Source organism: Homo sapiens, chromosome 10 (genome assembly GCF_000001405.40).
Source record: "Homo sapiens chromosome 10, GRCh38.p14 Primary Assembly".
Lineage (NCBI taxonomy): Eukaryota > Metazoa > Chordata > Mammalia > Primates > Hominidae > Homo > Homo sapiens.
In genome coordinates, this window is record NC_000010.11 from 69918260 (window position 1) to 69937395 (window position 19136).

Consider the following 19136-nt stretch of genomic DNA (forward strand, 5'->3'; position numbering starts at 1 on the left):
ACCTTTTTTTTTCTCTCTCTGCCAGGGGGCGCCCGGAATTGCCGTGGCTGGGATGAAGGTCAGTGGACTGTTGTAACCAACACATCAGGGACAGGGTGGGAGAGAAGAGAGCGGGCAGAGCTGGAAATCTTAGACTCAGTGGGGTGGCTGCCAGACCAATGAGGGGGCATACAGGATTTGGAAACATTTTTCTCAAAGTAACATTTGTGCCAGGTGCATAACCTTGAGCCACAGATGTGTAACTAAGCCTTGCAAGTAAGTAGCAATGGTTTCCTGCCTCAACTCACTAGCCTGCCAATGCACCAAGGCAGCAGGAAGGCAGCCCAGATCTTTCCTTTATGCTCTGTAATTGGGCAGCTATATGCTTCCAAAGCTTCAGAGAGAGCAGGAGTTCATCTCCAGAACCCCCACCCTAACTGCCCATTTGGTTGGCAGGCAGATGTGAGGACAGCCTGGAAAAACAAGTGCTCAAATTCTATCTTCACAGCAGGTGCACTTACAGGGGGCACCATGTCCAAACCAAATGTCCATTCCTTCCTCTCTTTCCTCCTGGGCTGCCTCACTTATGCTCCCACCTGCCACACCCCTCACCTGGGGAAGAATAGGACCCTCTAAGGGTCAGTAGCCTGATAGGCCTCCTTTGGCCTGGGACCTGATGCCTGAACAGAGAAGAGCCGGGGCTGGCCAGATGTTTCACTAACCCCACCCTGACTGCCCCCAACCCCACCTCCACCAACAGGTGCCTTGCTCATTTGTTTCTGCTTTTTCTGTCTCTCACATTTGTTTCTCTTTTTCCACACAGGGTGAGCCAGGGATCCCAGGAACCAAGGTACTGATGCAGAGAGAATGTTCCGGGCTGCACAGAGCATCGGTCATGGGCAGAGGTGGGAGGGGCTGCTGCTGTTTTGCTCTTGGTCCCCCTGAGGCTGGCCTGGGACTGGGGACCTGGCTAAGCAGAGAAGGGCCCACTGGTCAGGAGCACACTGCAAATGCCTCCCCCTCCCTGGGTCCTGGCCTGCAGGCATGCCAGCTGCAGCAGGCAGTGACTATTGTCCCCTGCACCCACAGGGTTCTCTTTCCCTCTTGTGTGACAATAAGAGGTGTGACAATAAGATATGTGACAAGAAAAAAAGTTTGAGAAATGCTAGGTTAGAAATATTACACAGGTTTCTTTGCTGCAGACCTTCTCAGAACCTTTAATTTGCTAAATGTGCATTGAGGAGCTCTCAAAAGGAAATATCTTATGTGGCATTTTCAAAACGTTTTTGACCAGAACACCCTTTTTTAAAGAGGAAAAGCTTAAGGGACAAGTATTCTGGAAATGCTGGTCAATGATCACTGCCCATCCTACCCCTCACTGCCTGCCCCATCTTCTTATCAGTGACTTTCTCTTCTTACCCCAAAGGGAGACCCAGGAGCAGAAGGGAAGCCGGGGCCCCCAGGTTTGCTGGGAAAGAGGGGGCAGAGGGTAGGATATCGTGTATTTGAGTGTGTGCCCCTTCATCCTAGCCTCACCATTCCCCTACTCTCTGGCCTTCCTCCATGGCTGGTGTGTCGCCTGCAGCGTGCTGTTGGTGCATGTGTTCCGAGATGAGGGGAGTGGCAGGACGGCCTGGCCAAGCTTCAGAAACCCACACTCAAGAGCACACCCACTCTCCTGGGCAGCCTTGATTACCCAGCAGAAAGCCTAGCAGAAGGAGGAACTTGCCTCCTTCCACCTCTGCTCCCCAAGGATCCACATCCTTTCCTTCTCCACATGGCCTGCTTCCGAAGGATACCCAAACTAAGCACATCTGCAGGAGCAGCCCAGGCAGGACAGGGCAGCAGGGGCTCCCTCCCACTGCCAGGGCCTCTGCCTGGCCCTCCACAACCCCTCTTGGCCAGCCTCAGGCTACTTTACCGTTCAGCTGCTACCCTGGGGCAGGTGCCAAGGAGACGACACCAAAAGACTTGGTGTGGCACCTTCTGTGGCTCCCACTGGAATGAATGTTCATTGAGACATCTGACCAAATTATAAGCCCAGAGCCCTCAGCTCACATTATTACACATGAGAACTGCCTCTCCCCAGGGCCATGGGTAGCAAAGCTTCTTGTGCTGACCTGATACCCCAGCCCTGCTGGTGGGGTGCTCTTGGACACTCACCTGATATTGGACACTGCTGTGCACTGAATATGTCCATCCCAGACCCATATGTTGAAGCCCTCACCTCCAGTGTGGCTGTATTTAGATAGGGCCTTGGGGAGGTCATTAAGGTTAAATGAGACCATAAGGTCGAGGCCCTAATCCAATAGGATTGGTGGCCCTAGAAGAAGGGGAAGAAAGAGAGAGACCTTTGAGAGACCGTTCTCCCTCTCTGCCTTGTGAGAACACGGCAAGAAAGCTGTCATATTCAAGGCAGGAAGAGGGCTCTCACCAGAACCTGGCCATACTGGCACCCTGATCTCAGACTTCCAGCATCCAGAACTGTAAGAAAATACATTTCTGCTGTCAAAGCCACCCAGACTTTGTTATGGCCGCCTGAGCTGACCAATACAGCTGCTCTGTGAAAAGAAGGCAGAGCATCAGGGAGACGGGCTCGACCTGCCTCTGCCACTGACTCAGTAAGGGGTTGGCCACCAGTCACGTAACCTCTTGGGGCTTCCCTCACCAAATCTGTGAAATGAGAATGGGGTTCAGCATCTCTAAGGGGCTCTTTGATTCATGTCATGGGGGAAAAAGAGTTCTTCCGTAGTGGAAGAAGCTGGGTAGGGAAGTGTATTATTTTGCTAGGGCTGTGGTAACAAAGTACTACAGGCTGGGTGGCTTGAGCAGAAGAAATTCATTGTCCCACAGTTCTGGAAGCTGGAAGTCCAAAAGCAAGGTGTTAGCAGGGCGGGCTCCATCTGAGGGCCAAGGGGGAGAATCTGCTCCAAGCCTCTCTCCCGGCTTCTGGTGCTTGCTGGCAATCTTTGGCATTCCTTGGCTTATAGACGTATCACCCCAATCTCTGCCTCCATCTCCATATGGCATTTCCCTGTGTGCATGTCTGTGCCCAAATTTCTCCCTTTTATAAAAAGGACATCAGCACATTGGATAGGGGCTCACCCTACTCCCATGGGACTTCATCCTAACTCATTACATTTGCAATGACCCTATGTCCAAATAAGGTGAGCTGGTTATAGCTAGAGGCGGAGAAGGGGGTGCCAGAAAAGACTGGGAGCCCTTAGTTGCTAAGCATTAAGAATCTGAAGAACAGAGTGGTCAAAAGGAATTGCTTGCCCAACCACTGGCGTTCTGAACTGCTCACCTCTCCCAGGAGACCGCCAGGATGGACTAGATGCTTCTGGCCTTTGTTATGATCTGTGGCCAGTGTGACTTCTCCCCAGCATGAATGACAAGGGCCCGGGCCACATGGGAATAAGGAAAGCAGTCATGCAGGTGTCACCAACGCGAAGTGACCCATGGAAGTAGCCAGTCAGGATGGGGGCCGGGAGGAAGTGGAGCCCTTCAGAAAGCCAGCTGGGGGCAGGGGCACCGAGGCAGGAGCAAGGGAAGGCAAGGCCCTAAGCTGTGGAGCTGGTGGCTTCCCAAACCTGCTGCAGAAACAGTTCCTAACCCCCACACTGTCTGCATCTCCCTGCAGGGTGAGAAGGGGGCTGAAGGCTCCCCTGGGCTTCCTGGCCTCCTGGGGCAGAAGGTAGGTGTTGCTCTGAATGGAGGGTTCAAGTCCTTCGTCACCCACATCCCATACCTGGCCCTGCACATCCACACAGGCCCCAGCATTGGACGTGTCTGTCTCCCAGACTGCAGGAAAGGCAGCTGGAACACAGCCAGATTCTGTTTGTCGAGGGAGAGGTGCCATAGGCAGGCCCTGATTGGCAAAAATAAAATGCCGAAATGTAAAGAATTCGGTAGTGATGACCTGGTCAGATTTCTTGGTACCAGCTCTGCAAATGCATCCCACAGTTCATGAACTCTGTAAGATATTTAATTTAAAAATTAAAAAAAAAAAGATGAGGCCAAAATAAGGGGAGACATGCATAATAAGATGGGACCCTTGGAAAGTCACAGTGCTCCTCAGCCTGTTAGAGGCCTGAGCACCCTGCAGTGATGGGGTCTGCAAAGCTTATTTAATGTTTCATTTCTTACATAGTTTGGCCACCAATAATAATGTTATTCCACATTTTGAATATTCTCAACCCACTGAACAGTGTTCCGTGGAATACACTTTGAGAAACACGGCTCCAGACCCAGTTTTGAAGGATCCCTTGTGTCAGCTCTAAACCTGCTGCCCTTCAGTAAACACTTCCAATCTCTCTTCAAATCCCACAGCTGGATCAGATAAATCTGGGATTCTGAAGGCCCCTGGTCCCCAGACATCCTGGGGCCCACACCCCATAGTGTCCCTCCAGTGCTCAGCCTAGACCTTCCTCCACACCAGGGATGCTAACTCCACCTTCCACCCCCAGGGAGAGAAAGGCGATGCTGGCAACTCCATTGGAGGAGGCAGAGGGGAACCTGGCCCTCCAGGGCTCCCTGGGCCCCCAGGGCCAAAGGTGAGTGTTCCCTGGAATTGGTGTTGGGGAGGTGCTTACCTGGGGACTTTGTCTTCAGCCTGTTCTCGGGGACTCTACGTCCCGGACATCCCGCCTTCTCTAGCCTTCCCCTGCTCCAGATGTGTGGTTTTCCCCATGGATTCCAAAAAGGCCATTTGGACCCAGCTCCTGCTTGCAAGCAGATAACAGTTTGACCTTTCAGAGGAGATGTCTTCCCTGGGGCAGATGGATGGTCCCAGTGATTCAGATGACTCTGATGTAACTGAGTCAGGGCGCAATGGCTGCAGGACCTTCATGGCTATGCTGTAACTGAGTCAAGGATTGATGGCTGCAGGACCTTGATGGCCATGCTGTAACTGAGCAAGGGACCAATGGCTTCAGGGCCTTAGGACAGGCAAGAGGCCCCCCACCTTGGCTCTGAGTAGGTTGCAGGTCAACTATCAGCTGGCCCCACCTGGTACCAGCACATCTGGTAGGTGGCAGCAGTGGAGGCAGCTGCAAATGGAAACTGCCCTCACTTTCCTTTTGCTGCTTGAAAAGTGCAATGGTAAGATTTGGGTTCCCCAAAGCAGATGGCTCCTATGTTGCTTGGTTTACTTTAGCAGCACTGAGAAATGAAGGGGGTCTGTTTCTTAGCTCAGAAGGAAAGCATGAATTACTCTACATCATCTGGGGCAATACACTCATTCATTCCGCCCATATCCACCTGCCATGGGCTGGGCTCTGTGTGGGCCTAGGAGGGCCTGGCAGGGCAGAGTGGACACCAGTAAAGGGTACAGAATGCAGGGAAGGAAAGCAGGAGTGGGCTTCCAGAGGAAGCAAGACCCAGGCTGGGCCCAAGCATGGGTAGGAGTCAGGGAGGTGGAAGAGTGGGAGGTGCAGAAGCCATCAGGGAAAGAGAAGTCCAAGGCAACATCTAGGCATGAGCGGCAAGACCATCTTTTCCCTCATAAGCAGCTGTCCAGGTGCCCAGCATGCCCTCATCCCAACTCTCTCCTCTTCCCCAGGGAGAAGCAGGTGTCGATGGCCAGGTTGGCCCCCCAGGGCAGCCAGGAGACAAGGTACAGAGACCCCCACATCCCAGAGCTGCAAGATGAGGGTCAGCTTGGGAGGTCAAGAATCATCCCGGCCGACCCTAGGGGTATCCCTCAGGGCACAAGGCTGACCGGCCATGACCACTGGCTTCCCTAATTCCTGGTTGGCTTGGGCTTTAGAGAGCCATGCACTGAGACAGCAGTCATGCAAAAGCCAGTCTAGGGATGGGACATTTGACCAGGGAGTGACACAGAGCTTCCCGAGCCATTGGTAAACGAGGGGCTCTTGCTTCTCTCCAGCTACTCCCTGTGAAAGGCTGCTGTGTCCCTCATGAGTTCACAGTGGCTAAAGTGTTGTGGCAGTGGAGGAGAAAGAGAGTGGGTTACCTGGAGGCAGCAGTGGCTCCACGTCCCGTGAGCAGGTTCATCAGGAGTCACACCAAAGTGTTCCTGTTTCCTTTATTTTTACTTTCTATCTTGATTTTTTTCAATTGTCTTTATCCCAGAAAAATTGAAACTGCGCTTGGTTTTTCACAAGTTACACTGCTTTTTCATTTATTCTCCATGGCTCTGTCCTGTTTGCAACAGGAACAAATCCTTCCACCCGCCCACTCTGGGAGGTGGGTGCTCATACACCCATGTCCTCCTGAGACCCTCCTGGCCCTCCACATTTCACTCGGCATTCTGGGTCTTTCACAAGTAGAGTAGGCAGCAAAAGAACTGTGTGGGCTCTCGATGGCAACTGACACCCAGACAATTGGCAAAAAGCTGCTGAGTCCTGGATACCTGAGCAGGATGGAATTAAAGAGAAGCAAACGTCCCTGCTCCAATGGAGGCAACTGACTTAGGGGACTGGGGAAAAGGTGTGAGAGAGACAAAGGGGAGTCCCTAACAATGAACACAGAACAGAAAGAACGCCACCGAGTCTGAAGTGGGAGGCAGCCCAGAGGGACTCAGAGGGACAGGAGTGTGGGTGGGTGTTCCCTGGATGTTTCCTGAAGGGGTGGAACCTGCACTTCTATGGACTAAGAGCTAAGATGAGCCTCCTGGCCCTTATCACATGGCCCATCTAGGGACATCAGGCTCTCTGTACCAACTTTATCCCCACTTTGCTCCAATTTTGTCATGCAACAGGGGGAGCGTGGAGCAGCTGGAGAACAGGGACCAGATGGCCCCAAGGTATGTGCCTCTCCCTCCTGGAGTCACAGCGTGAAGCGGCTGGTAAATCAAAAAAGCATCTGAGACAGGTCTCAATTAATATTTAGAAGTTTATTTTGCCAAGGTTAAGGGCACGTGCCCAAGAGACAGGTCTGTGCCTTTTGCCAAAGATGATTTTGAGGGCTTCAATATTTAAAGGGGAAAAGCAGGCTGGAGGGGAAAGAGGAAGGGTATGGTAATCCACACACTGCAAGGGAAAAGGAGCAAGTAGCGGAATAGTTGATTATGTATTAGTCTCACGCTCAGTAAATCGGCACTTTATGTAAGCTGTGGTGAACATGGAGCAGCTACCTGTGGGGATATTTAACCTTTTATCTGTAGCTGTCTGATTAGGAACAAAAGGAAAGGCAGCTTCTTGCATGACTCAGCTTTCAGCTGAACTTTTTTTCTTTTGGCAGAGTGAACTGGGGTCCCAAGTTTTTATGTCCCTTTCACAGGCTTGACCTTGGGGTCTTGACGAGGCAGGAGGGGAAGAGCATTCTGGCCCTCAGGTGGGAGGTCTGACTGGCAGCACAGGTGGACCCAATCTTCCCAGGTCGGCCTAGCCCAGACTTCTCACATGGAGTCTTCTCGATTTGTTCTGCAATCCCCGAGCATCCTCTGAGAGTGTTCAGAATCCCCAGGGCCCCGCTGGCTGTTCTGGGTCCACCCATGTGCAGCTAGGTGCAGCCAGTGTGGGCTGATAGAGAGCAGGCCACAGTTGCCCTCCCGGCCCTCCCGGTCCAGGCCGTGGGTTGAGATCTCATTTGCCTTCCAGGGCTCCAAGGGAGAACCAGGGAAAGGAGAGATGGTGGATTACAATGGAAACATCAATGAGGCTCTCCAGGTGAGCAGGGTCCAGCCCAGAGGCCAAGATCCTCATGGATCTCAGGCTCTGCACCATGCCCTGATCAGGGGGCCCTTCCACACAGCCGAGTAGGGGCCCTGCCCTCAGGCCCTCAGGCAGCGCTTCCAGGAGAGCTGCTTCCTCGCTTTCTCTCCTTTGACCTCCCGCTGTGTAGCCTCCTGGGAAATGGCCCCATTACTGGCATCCAGGTGGCCGGGGCTCTCTGTCTGGGCCCAGCTGGCCAGTTATCCTGCCTCAGGGCCCCTGAGTGCCATAGTGGAATTATCCTGGCACCCCACAAGTTACGGCCCATGCAGGGTGCTGGGGCCCCATTTCTTTAATGCATGTATAACCCCCTTTCATGCAGCAGCAAATCTTCCTGGAACGCATCTCCTTTCGTGTCAGTTTAACCCTGTTTCAAGTTCATGAGCTCCCGCTCCCCACCCTTTAAAGCAGGGTTTCCCAGCCTTGGCACTGACTTTTGGGGCTAGAGAATCTTTGTGGTGGGGGGAGAGTCGGTCCTGTGTGTTGTAGGATGTGCAGCAGCGTCCCCAGTCTCTACCTGCTAGATGCCAGTAGCACCCGAGCCTCAGCTGTGACAACCAAACTATGTCTCCAGACATGACCAGTTATCCCTTGGGGGAAGAAATTGCCCCTGCTCAAGAACCACTTCTTCAAAGGAGTCTGTGTCCGTATGTGACTCCATTTACAAGGTGTAAAATCCTCTTTTAAAGCCAACAATCATCTCCCTGATCTATTTTTTGAGTGGTTCCATATTTTGCTATATTGTGTCTGTTTAAAGGGAGGTGCGTGGCAACTTTGAAATCTGGGTTCTGGGAGAAGAGGAAAGAACAAGGGAGGGTCCTCAGAAGGTGACTAGAAAGAATAAGAGGTGGTGCTTCCTTCCCTTCAGTAAAGTGAAGTAAAGGTTGCAGTCCATTTAGGGTGTGCCTGAGTCCATTGTAGGACGGCCTCAGAGTATAATCATGCTTAGGAGATGCTACGTATTCTCTCTCCAGTGATTACAAACCTCAGCGAGAGGTGGGGTGGGGGTGGTGTGAGTCTGGGGGCCATGGAGCCCACCTGCAAGCGTCTCCCTCCACCCACGCTCCTTTGAGGGGCCTAGCTCCCATGTTTCCATGACTGTGCAGTGAGAACCTTCCACTTGGCTCTTGGTTTGCTCTTCAACTGATTGCCTGGTGTTGGTTTTTTAGGAGATCCGGACGCTGGCCTTGATGGTAAGTTTTGCTCCTCCTGGCTTTCCTTGGGCACTGGACGGGGGGGCTGGGGATGGCAGCCTGGAAGCAAGGATTTGATTTCTCCCCTCCAGAAAGCAGGTACTGGGCTGCAGATTAGGGTTGACCCAACAGGGCTGGGGCAGATGATGATCTGAGCTGGAGGTGATGAGTCAGGACTGGTAGGTGGGCCTCGAGAGCTGCCCGTGCCCTGGGTCATGGGTGTCCTCTGTGTAAAGGCTCTTCACCAATACAGCTGTGCTCTCTGGTGACAATACAAATGCTGGATTCTATTTACAGCTGCGTGAAGGAAATAGCAGTACTGAGGAGGATGTTTTTAATGTTTCTCTTTTTTCCCAACTTTTAGCTAATTAAATCCTGAAAAACTAGTAGCAACCTACCACGTATCCCCCTTTCCTGGAAATCAGTTTCATTATCTGCACTTGGAAAACCAGGGAATTTCAAGTCTGGGTTTTGTACAGGTGCCTACCGGTGACAGGCTCTTGGTAAATATTTGTAGTTAAAATGACTACCACCAAGTTTAACTTCTAAGGTAGAGGATGGGAGGAGAGATCATGAAGTTCTCTGACTACTGAAATTTCAATTCACCTAATATTTTTTCATGGCTGTGAGCCACAGAACACACTTAGGGATGGCACAAACTCACAATCAAACACCACTTCTGTGACGTCCCAATCCCAGAAATTGCTATCAACGACATGGTTCTGGAATCAATGAGCTTCATTTGGAGACATTAAAATATATTATTTGGCAGGGCACAGTGGCTTATGCCTGTAATCCCAGCACTTTGAGACACTGAGGTGGGCAGATCGCTTGAGGTCAGGAGTTCAAGACCAGCTTGGCCAACATGGTGTCTCTACTAAAAATACAAAAGTTAGCCAGGCATGGTGGCGGGTGCCTATAATCCCAGCTACTCAGTAGGCTGAGGAACGAGAATCACTTGAACCCGGGAGGCGGAGGTTGCAGTGAGTCGAGACTGCACCACTGCACTCCAGCCTGGGTGACAGAGTGAGACTCTGTCTTAATAATAATAATGTGAAATAGCTATTGGAAATAAAACCTTCCCAGAAACATTTTTTTTCCTTTAAAATCAACCTTGAGGTGTAACTTACACATAAGAAAAGGTACTCATTTTAGGTGTAGAGTTTGATGAGTTTTGATAAGTGTATATACCCAAGTATCAACCACCCAATCACTCTAGAAAGTTTCTTCATGCACCTTGGGAGACACTCCCAGCCCCAGGCCACCACTGCTCTGCGTCACTTCTGTCACTGTAGATTAGGTGTGTCTTTTGTCTCTTCTAGAGCTTCATGTAAATGGAATTAAACAGTATCTGTGCCTGGATGCTTCTGCTCAGCAGAATGTGTTTGAGATGCACCCTTGTCATCAGCACTTGGTTCTTTTTCCCTGCTGAGTAGTATTTCATTGTATGGATGTACCATGCATTCCCCTGTTGATGGGCATTTGGGTTGTTTTCTGGAGATATTTTTAAGTCATTATTGGGGAAGGTCAGACTTAGCTTCTTGGAGCCCAAAGGGCGACCAGAGATGCCCTAGAGAGAAGGAGAGGGTATTGGACATGGCTCTCCGAACCCCACCTCCACTTCAACCCAGTCACACTTGGTGCTTATATGTTTTGCATTTTGGGTTCCCCATGTTATTTTCTTTGCAAAAAATGCATCTCTATCACTGGAGAAAGGTCTGTAAACAACTTATCTGTACAAGCCAGCCTCCACATATAGCCCTCAGGGCACAGGCTACCCTCCTCCATGGGACAGTTCTTCCATGTGTCTTTCCTTTCTCTCCTAGGGGCCTCCTGGTCTTCCTGGGCAAATTGGCCCACCTGGAGCTCCAGGGATTCCAGGCCAGAAGGTAAATCTTATCTTGACAAAGGGGGTGAAGACTTTGCAAGGGCATCGACCCCAGGGCTTCCCCTCCCCCTGTGACCCTCTCATCTTCCCAGCACTACCACCATACCCTCCTGCTGCTCCAAGGCACCAGGGGACCCGCCCACCCACCTCCCAGCTGCTGTGGCTCTTCTAGCCAACCCTTGCCATCTGCTTGGGCTCCTGTAATTCACAGAGCCTTCTGATGCTGTGGGGCCTGGGTCTAGACACACCCCTGCCCTTGCCCCAACCAGACCCACAGCGGGAGTGAGGACCCCATCAGGGACCTCGGCATCTGAGCCCCTCCCCAATCCTCCCACCTCACTCCCTGCCCTTGCTTTCCTTTTACACTCCACACACCTGTGTTTTTCTCAGAAGGTCTGCCCCTCTGTCTCCCACTCATGAGGTCCTCTCCCCTGCAAGTCTTTTTCCATCTTACCTTTCTTTCAAAGCCCTTCTCATCTTTCAAGCCCAATTCAATAGACCACCTCCTCCTTGAAGCCTCCCTGATCTATCAGGCAGAATTCCCTGCCCTTTCCTCTGCTTCTCTGGGTAGGACCTACATCATTTTGCCACCTCCCTTAACTCCCCACCTGACCCAAAGAAGGGGCTTGGTTTGTGTGAAGATGAAAGGAGCACCCTGTGGAGAGCCAGGGCAGGGGTTCTGCATTCAGGGGAGACAGGAAGGCAAGAACCCTTCTGCAAGGGAGCCAAGGGCGCCTAGGGCTCCCAGAGGCAGCAGTGGGAGGTTGTGGCTAAAACATGGACATGGAGCCAGAGCGCCCAGACTGGGATCCTGGCTCCTCAGTTCACTAACTGTGGGCCTCAGGCACACAACTCTGTGCTTTGGAGTCCTGTCTGTAGAAGAGAGGCAATGCAAATTCATACCTCCCAGCAACACAGTTAGAATTAAATGAGCAAACTCTATGGGAAAGTGTGGAGTGGGATGCCGGGTGCACTAAGCAATGCGTAACTGATGGCTGCTATGTTCTCTGCCCTGAGAGTCACCTTTAGTTGTTCCGGTTACAGGGGGAGATTGGACTGCCAGGCCCTCCAGGACACGATGGGGAAAAGGTATGAACAGACGTCCTCTGGTCAAACCTCTGAAGACAGTCTTGGCCCTGGGGGCAGGAGGTCGGGCAGGAAGGCTCTAGAATTGGCCCTGGTGTGAGCCCAGTGGGCAAGGGAAGGGGAGATGGGGGGGGGCAGGGAGAGGGGCCCACCCTGCAAGCCCCAGGAGGAGCCAGGCAGACCCAGGCTGGGCTGTCTCTGCCTGCCCCAGACAAGCACCAAAGAGCCAAGGCCTTTGGACTTTTCTACTCTCTCTCCCTCTCTCCTCTTTTCTCCATTAATGTGTCTAAGAAGCGTTTTTGGTATTTTCTAAAGGGACCTCGCGGTAAACCAGGAGACATGGGCCCTCCTGGTCCCCAAGGCCCCCCAGGAAAGGATGGACCTCCAGGAGTGAAGGGAGAAAACGGGCACCCAGGGAGCCCAGGAGAGAAGGGGGAAAAAGGGGAGACAGGACAAGCAGGCTCACCGGTGAGTGGCAGGGCTGGCTGCCCTTCCGTGCATACACCACTCCCAAGCATGACGCCAGCTTTGCAGGGCTTTGCACTTTGCATGATGTGAGCTGCTGCCTGGGCTAGAAACCTGGGGCCAGGGCTTAGGGGTGGAGGATTCACTCAGCTTCCCCTCAAGTCACTCACTTTATGAAGGCCAGTTTCCCGACTCAGGAGACCTGAGTTGTGCTCTGTCATCTGTATCCTTGGGAAAGCCACTCACTGTTGCAGAGTCTCCGTCTCCTCATCTCTAAACTGGCGATAATAATGTTTTCCCTGGATACCTCACTGGATTGTTGGGAAAGAGATGAAGACATGGTTTAGAGCTGCCTCTTTGGAAAGTGTACAGAAGCCCTATACCCGGGAGAGGCTGCATGTACAGAAACGGGGCCTTCGCCCAGTCCACTAGGCTGCTAACTTGACTTAGGGGCCTTCTCTGGGTCTCAGGGGTTTCCATCTGTGAAATGGGTGCCATCCTAGACACCTACCCTTGGAGCAAGGGAGCCACATCCTGTGCAGGCCACAGTTGGTCACACTCAGCAAGACCACCTTGAGCTCCACTAACAGAAATCATTGTCAGTCTGTAGGGTCTAGATGGCCCAACTGGGGAGAGGAGAACATGGTGGCCAGAGCAGACCCAGAGTGGCAGGATTGCCTAATCCAGCTGGGCTCCTGAGGTTTACAGTGAAGCCAGAGGGCTGGGTGTCAAGGTTGCCTGCAGGCAGCCACAGATGAGGGTCCTCCTGGGGGCCACCAGCCTAGTGGGTGCCTGACACTGTGACGAGGCTGCCCTAATCCCAAGCCTGCCGACCCAGCCTGGGAGCAGGCAGGGAGGGTCCTCTTAACAAGCAGCTACTTCATTTGAGTGTAAACAGGAGTTGCATCTTCCTTGGCTCACGGTATGATGGCCTCTAGGAGCACCAACCTAGTTCGACGGTGCTAGAATCTTGGTCTCAGAATTCTCCTCTAGGAAGTGGAAAGAGCCTCAGAGGTCAACCAGTCCCAAGTCTGACCCAGTGCAGGACTCCTCACTCAACCGGCACAGGCAGGCAGCTCACTGCCTCCAGACCTGTCCACTGCACCATGGGGCAGCCCCAGGATGGAGGGAGCATTCCTGGATATGGTGTGGAAGCTCCCTTGTCAGCCTCCCCGAGTTGACCCCTCAGAGCCTCTGGCCTCTGGAGCCATATTTATTATCTATTGCTGCATAACTAATCACTGCAAACGTAGCGGCCTAAGAAAATACACACTTATTGGCACATAGTTTCTGTGGGTCAGGAATTCAGGCACATCCTAGTTGGGTCCTCTGCCCATGGTCTCATGAGGCTGCAATTAATGTCTCAGCCAACTGTATTCTCATCTGGAGCTAGGGATCCCCTTCCAAGCTACTGGTATTGGCAGAATCCAGTTCCTTGCTGGAACAGAACTCAGCTCCTAGAGGCCACCTACAGTTCCTGCCACCTGCGCCCCTGCCCTCCCCACCTCCCGCAGAGTAGACAGTTCACATTATAGCAACTGGCATCTTCAAGGACAAGGCCAGCAGTAGGGTCTCTCTAGTGTCTAGTGCTAGCAAGACAGAGCTGTGTGCACGTGTGTTTGTGTGTTCATGTAACATATTTGTAACATAATCTTAATATATGTTATATGTCACCATCTGTATGACATGTATGTTATAATCTGCAACATAATCATAGAAGTGAGGTCCCACCACCTTTGCCATGTGCCTTACTCCACGGCTAAGAAACAAGTCACAGGTCACCCTAAGGCCTGTACGCTGCAGAGTCCACAGAGAGTATCAGCCTCTCCTCCCCTGTACTAGAGCCTCAGATTCTGTCCTGCAGGCTGACACCTCCACATCCTCCATGGTGTTCCTTGTTGACCCCTAGACCAGTCACGTCCCAGTCTAGTTTGTCACAGATGTGAGGGTGCGTCTGTCCCAGGCTTTCACAAGGGCTGGCATTCATGCAGTGGTGTTTTGTGCCCACAGGGAGAGAAAGGAGAAGCCGGGGAGAAGGGCAATCCAGGAGCAGAGGTACATGAGAGATAATTTGACAGAGACTCATCAAGCGACAGTCTCTGCAGCATGCACAGTATTTCTGTGCTTTAGAATGAAGCTTGCAACTGCCTGATGTTTACGTTTACTGAGCACCACCATAGGTCAGGCACTGATCCTCTGGACTGCTCCAGTCTTCCCAAACCACATCTCTCAGCAACCTTCACAGAGCACCTCCCATGCTTCCATCCTGGTGCTAGAGTCTGGAGATACGAAAATAAACAGAACTTGCCGGGCACGGTGGCTCACGCCTGTAATCCTAGCAATTTGGGAGGCTGAGGCAGGCGGATCACCTGAGGTCGGGAGTTTGAGACCAGCCTGGCCAATATGGTGAAACCCCATCTCTACTAAAAATACAAAATTAGCCAGGAGTGGTGGCAGGTGCCTATAATCCCAGCTATTCGGGAGGCTGAGGCAGGAGAATCACGTGAACCCAGGAGGCAGAGGTTACAGTGAGCCAGGATTGTGCCACTGCACTCCAGCCTGGGCAACAGAGTGAGACTCTGCCTCAAAAAAAAAAAAAAAAAAAAAAAAAAAAAAAACAGAACCATCCCTCCACAGCTCACAATACCCCATAATGGGCACTAGCATGGGAGCAACTCAGGGAATCGGGCAAGCATCCCAAAAGACTTTCTATTTGGGCAGAGTCTTGACGGCTTTGTAGGAGTTTGCCACAAAGTTTCAGAGGTAGGCTTTCCAGATAGAGGCATTATTCTTTTGAGAAGTGTGGTGAAAGGAAGAGAAAACAGAATGGCTGAGTGAGAATAGTCAGGATGGAGGCAAGGTTTTCAAAAGACAGCAGAGAATCAGGCATATTTGCGGGCTCAGGGGCAAGAACCCGGAAAGCAACGGAGATCAAGGATGCGTGAGAGACAGGATGTTTGGTGGCGGGGTCTGGGCAACCCAAATAGCACCTCAGACCCATGGGAGAGACCACCAAGCCTTCTCAGTCCCCATCAGGGTGGGTTCACCTTGCCAAGCCCCGTCTGAATGTAGTGAAACAGGCCTGATTGTACAATGTGTATGGTACTTGTTTCGAAATGGATAGCCTCCTAAAGAAATGATCCTAATTCAGGAAAAGCATTATACGCACATTGTCCCTCCAAGAAGTATTTAAAATAAACATTAGAAACACTCTAAATTTTATCAAGAAGGAAAGGATTAAATAACTTATAGTAATAATACTAATAGTAATAATAGTCACCACGTCTGAGCACTTCCCTCGTGCCAAGCACCGCACTAAGCCCTGGGTATGTAACAACTCATTTTCACTCCACCCAGTGAATAGCACAGCACCGTTACCAGGAAGCTGGTGGCGAACATATAAAAAATGGAAACATCAGTTTCACAGTAAGTGAAAAAGAGTTGAAAACGAAATTTTATACATATATGAAATCATAAGCATATACATATATGTATATACAATTCTACACATATTATATGTAAATATCAAAAGTATATACATATATTCAAGCACATCTGATACATCAAGAAAATGTTTAAATTTTCTCTTTAAAGAAAATTTTAAAAATTCTTTTTATTCTTTTTATTATTTTTAAAATTACCACCCAGGTAAAATTGACTTCTTCTGGAATGTGTCCAGTTCTGTGAATGTTAATGCATGTAGAGATTTGTATAACCAATACCATGATTAGGATACATAAACCACTTACTTATAATAAGAATTAAAATGGTAAACTTTTGTTAAAAATGGGAAGCTTTTTTTAAGAAGGCAGAGTTTCCAAAGACTGTGTTCCCTCCAAGGAGACTGTGATGGAGCGACAAAGTCCACAGGTCCAGGAAACAATAGGGACCTCCTGTCTGCCCAGTGTAGGGGTGCCCTCTGTCGTGGCCTGGCACAGGAGTCACTCCCCTGGCCATGCTCCAGGGAATTCTACCCCTGGGAAGACGAGGCACCTGAGGAGAGCCCTGAAGCCGAGGCGGGGTGAGCAGCTCAGAAGGACCCAGCAGTGGCTGCCTGTGGATGAAAGGATGTGTGTGTTCATCAGAGACAGAAGCTGCAATGGGCACCACCCTCTGTAGAGGAGGCAGCCCTGAGCTCCTCCATCTTCACTGTCCAGTCAGAATCTCCTCTAGCACAATCTGCATCTGCTCTCAAGGGAAACAGAGACCAGCAGTCCCCATCCTGTCTGTAACAAACCTTGGGGACTTGAGGAGCAATCTCCAGGAACAGCTCAGTCTCCCCACATTCCAGATAACCAATCTCTGCTTCTCTAAGCCAAGGGTCTCAAACTCAAATGTCTACAAGGGTCAGGCCTGCAAAAAGTGACTGCAAGAGCGCTGGATCAAAGACAATAAGGAGTGGTGAGGACTGGGGTAAACTGAAGGTGTCATGCCCCACCTAGAGGGGAAAGCTCTAATTCCACTCCAGGCTGTTGTTGCCATGCATGAACAAGAACCTAGTGCTGCTAGATCTTCTGGTGTTTTTTTTGTTTTTTTTTTTCCAAGAAAAATCTGGAAGAATAGATCTTTAGGGACAGTTCCTGGAAATTTGCTTTTTCAACATTGAGCAGTCCACCGGGTTGCTATGAGTTTTTGACCTGTTCTGAGCCTTTTTTGGGGGATACTGTGCTGGGCAGTCACTGGCTGACCTCCAGTGGGCAGCCATGTCCTCCTCTGGCCTTGCAGTCTCCAGCTGGGCTCTAGGCCCTATCAGGAGGGAGGGCCACTTCAAATGTAACAGGGCTCCCCTTTGGCTTTTAGGTTCCTGGGCTGCCAGGGCCAGAGGGGCCTCCCGGACCTCCGGTAAGTTTGGAGGGCTTGTCAGTGGCCAGTCCACTAATGTCCCCTCTCCACAGCAGTCACTGGGCTCAACCTCAGCCTTAGTCACTATCACCTCTTCCTCCCAGGGAGGGATTTTCTGGTCTACAAACCCCTCCCCGCTCCTTTTCCCTCCCATGTTAAACAGCACCATACTGGGGACACCAAGGAGCCCAGGCATTGCCTGGTTTCCTGGAAATAGCTGACTGGTAGGGCAGCCCCAGGGTCCCTTGTCTCTAAGCTCTGCCCAACATTTACCTCACCCTTTGCCATCAAACATCTGCTTCTCCCATTCCTCATTTGAAAGTGACTCACCGGTCTGGCACAGTGGCTCACGCCCGTGATACCAATCTGGCACTCTGGGAGGCTGAGGCAGGTGGATCGCTTGAGTCCGGAAGTTTGAGACCAGCCTGGGCAACATAATGAAACCCTGTCTCTTCTAAAAATACAAAAAATTAGCTGGGCGTGGTGGCACACATCTGTAATCCCAGCTACTCAAGAGGCTAAGGTGGGAGAATCACCTGGGCCCCAGAGATCGAGGCTGCAGTGAGCCAAGATGGCACCACTGCACTCCAACCTGGGCAACCAGAGTGAGACCCTGTCTCAAAAAAAAAGAAAAAGAGAGAAAGAGAGGGAGGAGGGAGGGAGGGAGGGAGTGAGGGAAGGGAGGGAGGGAGGGAGGGAAGGAGGGAAGGGAGGAAGGAAGGAAGGAAGGAAGGAAAGAAGGAAGGAAGGAAGGAAGGAAGGAAGGAAGGAAGGAAGGAAGGAAGGAAAGGAAAGGAAGGAAGGAAGGGCGAGCCCCAGCCCCACTGGATTGGCTTTCCTTGGCTACAGAAATGTAACCATGGGGCCCCTGTGCATCACCCCTAGAGGGCCCCCAAGCACCCTGAAGCAACAGATGCTGGCCCATGCCTCTGTGTGGTTCATGGTCCCCAAGGCACTGTGTGTCCTCTGTTGTGGATGGTAGAAGTAGCAGTAGGAATAATGATAGGAGCCAGCGTTTATTGAAACTTATTGGATGCTAGACACTGTTCCAAGCACTTTGCCTGTATTAATTTAATGTTTGCTGTGTTACCTCCGTGTCTTTCTTTCATGAGACTCTGGGTCAACCATGAGGACCACAGAGAGATTTTCTGTGAGCCCTGGCTGGAAAAGACTGGCTCAGACTATTCCCTAGGAAGCCCCAAGCATGACCCCCACTTAGCATTTCTTTCTACCTCTCATGGGCAGGGACCCCAAACCATACTCTGCACCCAAAACCCTTGTTCTTCTGTGATCCATTTGTGGACTAGGCAGTTGTGTTAACTAGAGATGCAGTTCTAATGCACCTTGCTTTATTCCAAATGCAGGGGCTCCAAGGTGTTCCTGGACCAAAGGTAAGGAGAAGTCACATGACAGGCGCTGTGTCAGTGCTAGTAGAAAAGAGGGAAAGTGCACCTGAGACCAGCTGACCCTTTTTCCTAGAAGGCATTAGGTGACACTCCAGCCAAGGGGGTCCAGTCAGGGCAGGAGGAAGTCCTAGATTCCCTTTAGCATCCATCATTGACACCTGGTGTGCTTTGGCTTCAGAAGCTTCCCATCTGTCACCCCACAAAGGGACAGGTTAGATTCTTAGCCAATGGTTAAAATCCTTTTCCCATCAAACCTGCCCTGGCCCCTTCACTCATGCCGAGTAGAGGTGGGAGAGAGACAGCAACATAGGGTGGGACCCCTCCCTGGGTCAAGCTTGGGGGGACTCTGCACTGGGCTCTCCCGGCCTCCCCTGAACCATTTCAAATGGATGAGGGGGCTGGGGGCTGTTGATGTGACAATGGCCCTTTCCTCATGCCCTGGTATTCAAGAGACTTCGGGGCAGTTTGTTCTCCCGACTAGGCTGTGAGCCTCAGGGCTCTGGAGGTAGCATCTCAGGCATCTGAGCAAATCTCTGTAAGGTTCCCATTCTCCTGCCATGCAGTTGGGCACCTGTGCCAAGGCCTGACCTGTGGGTTT

The 19136-nt window shown here is 51.4% G+C and overlaps 1 protein-coding gene across 43 annotated transcripts in view, besides 1 other annotated feature; it reads left to right on the forward strand.

The window, feature by feature from the left end:
* The window catches only part of COL13A1 (collagen type XIII alpha 1 chain), a 157239-nt gene that overhangs the window by 116354 nt on the left and 21749 nt on the right, over positions 1 to 19136 (forward strand). For 17 of the 43 annotated variants that reach the window (XM_047424600.1, XM_011539294.4, XM_047424601.1 and 14 more), the window contains 14 exons: positions 26 to 58; positions 803 to 829; positions 3623 to 3676; positions 4449 to 4535; positions 5543 to 5596; positions 6704 to 6748; positions 7545 to 7613; positions 8828 to 8851; positions 10678 to 10740; positions 11784 to 11828; positions 12141 to 12293; positions 14301 to 14345; positions 17091 to 17132; positions 18497 to 18523. In XM_047424600.1, the coding sequence (XP_047280556.1) occupies positions 26 to 58; positions 803 to 829; positions 3623 to 3676; positions 4449 to 4535; positions 5543 to 5596; positions 6704 to 6748; positions 7545 to 7613; positions 8828 to 8851; positions 10678 to 10740; positions 11784 to 11828; positions 12141 to 12293; positions 14301 to 14345; positions 17091 to 17132; positions 18497 to 18523 (768 nt within the window). Of the gene's footprint in view, positions 1 to 25; positions 59 to 802; positions 830 to 1405; positions 1469 to 3622; positions 3677 to 4448; positions 4536 to 5542; positions 5597 to 6703; positions 6749 to 7544; positions 7614 to 8827; positions 8852 to 10677; positions 10741 to 11783; positions 11829 to 12140; positions 12294 to 14300; positions 14346 to 17090; positions 17133 to 18496; positions 18524 to 19136 lie in introns of those variants that run through there. The other 26 variants (XM_017015681.3, XM_047424606.1, XM_017015689.3 and 23 more) reach the window with 5 other exon arrangements.
* Positions 7648 to 8147: an enhancer, noted in NCBI's record as "H3K4me1 hESC enhancer chr10:71685663-71686162 (GRCh37/hg19 assembly coordinates)". NCBI's record gives its function as "activates a minimal SCP1, AML or CMV promoter by ChIP-STARR-seq in primed H9 embryonic stem cells {active_cell/tissue: H9 hESC(primed)}" and the evidence as "EXISTENCE:reporter gene assay evidence [ECO:0000049][PMID:30033119]".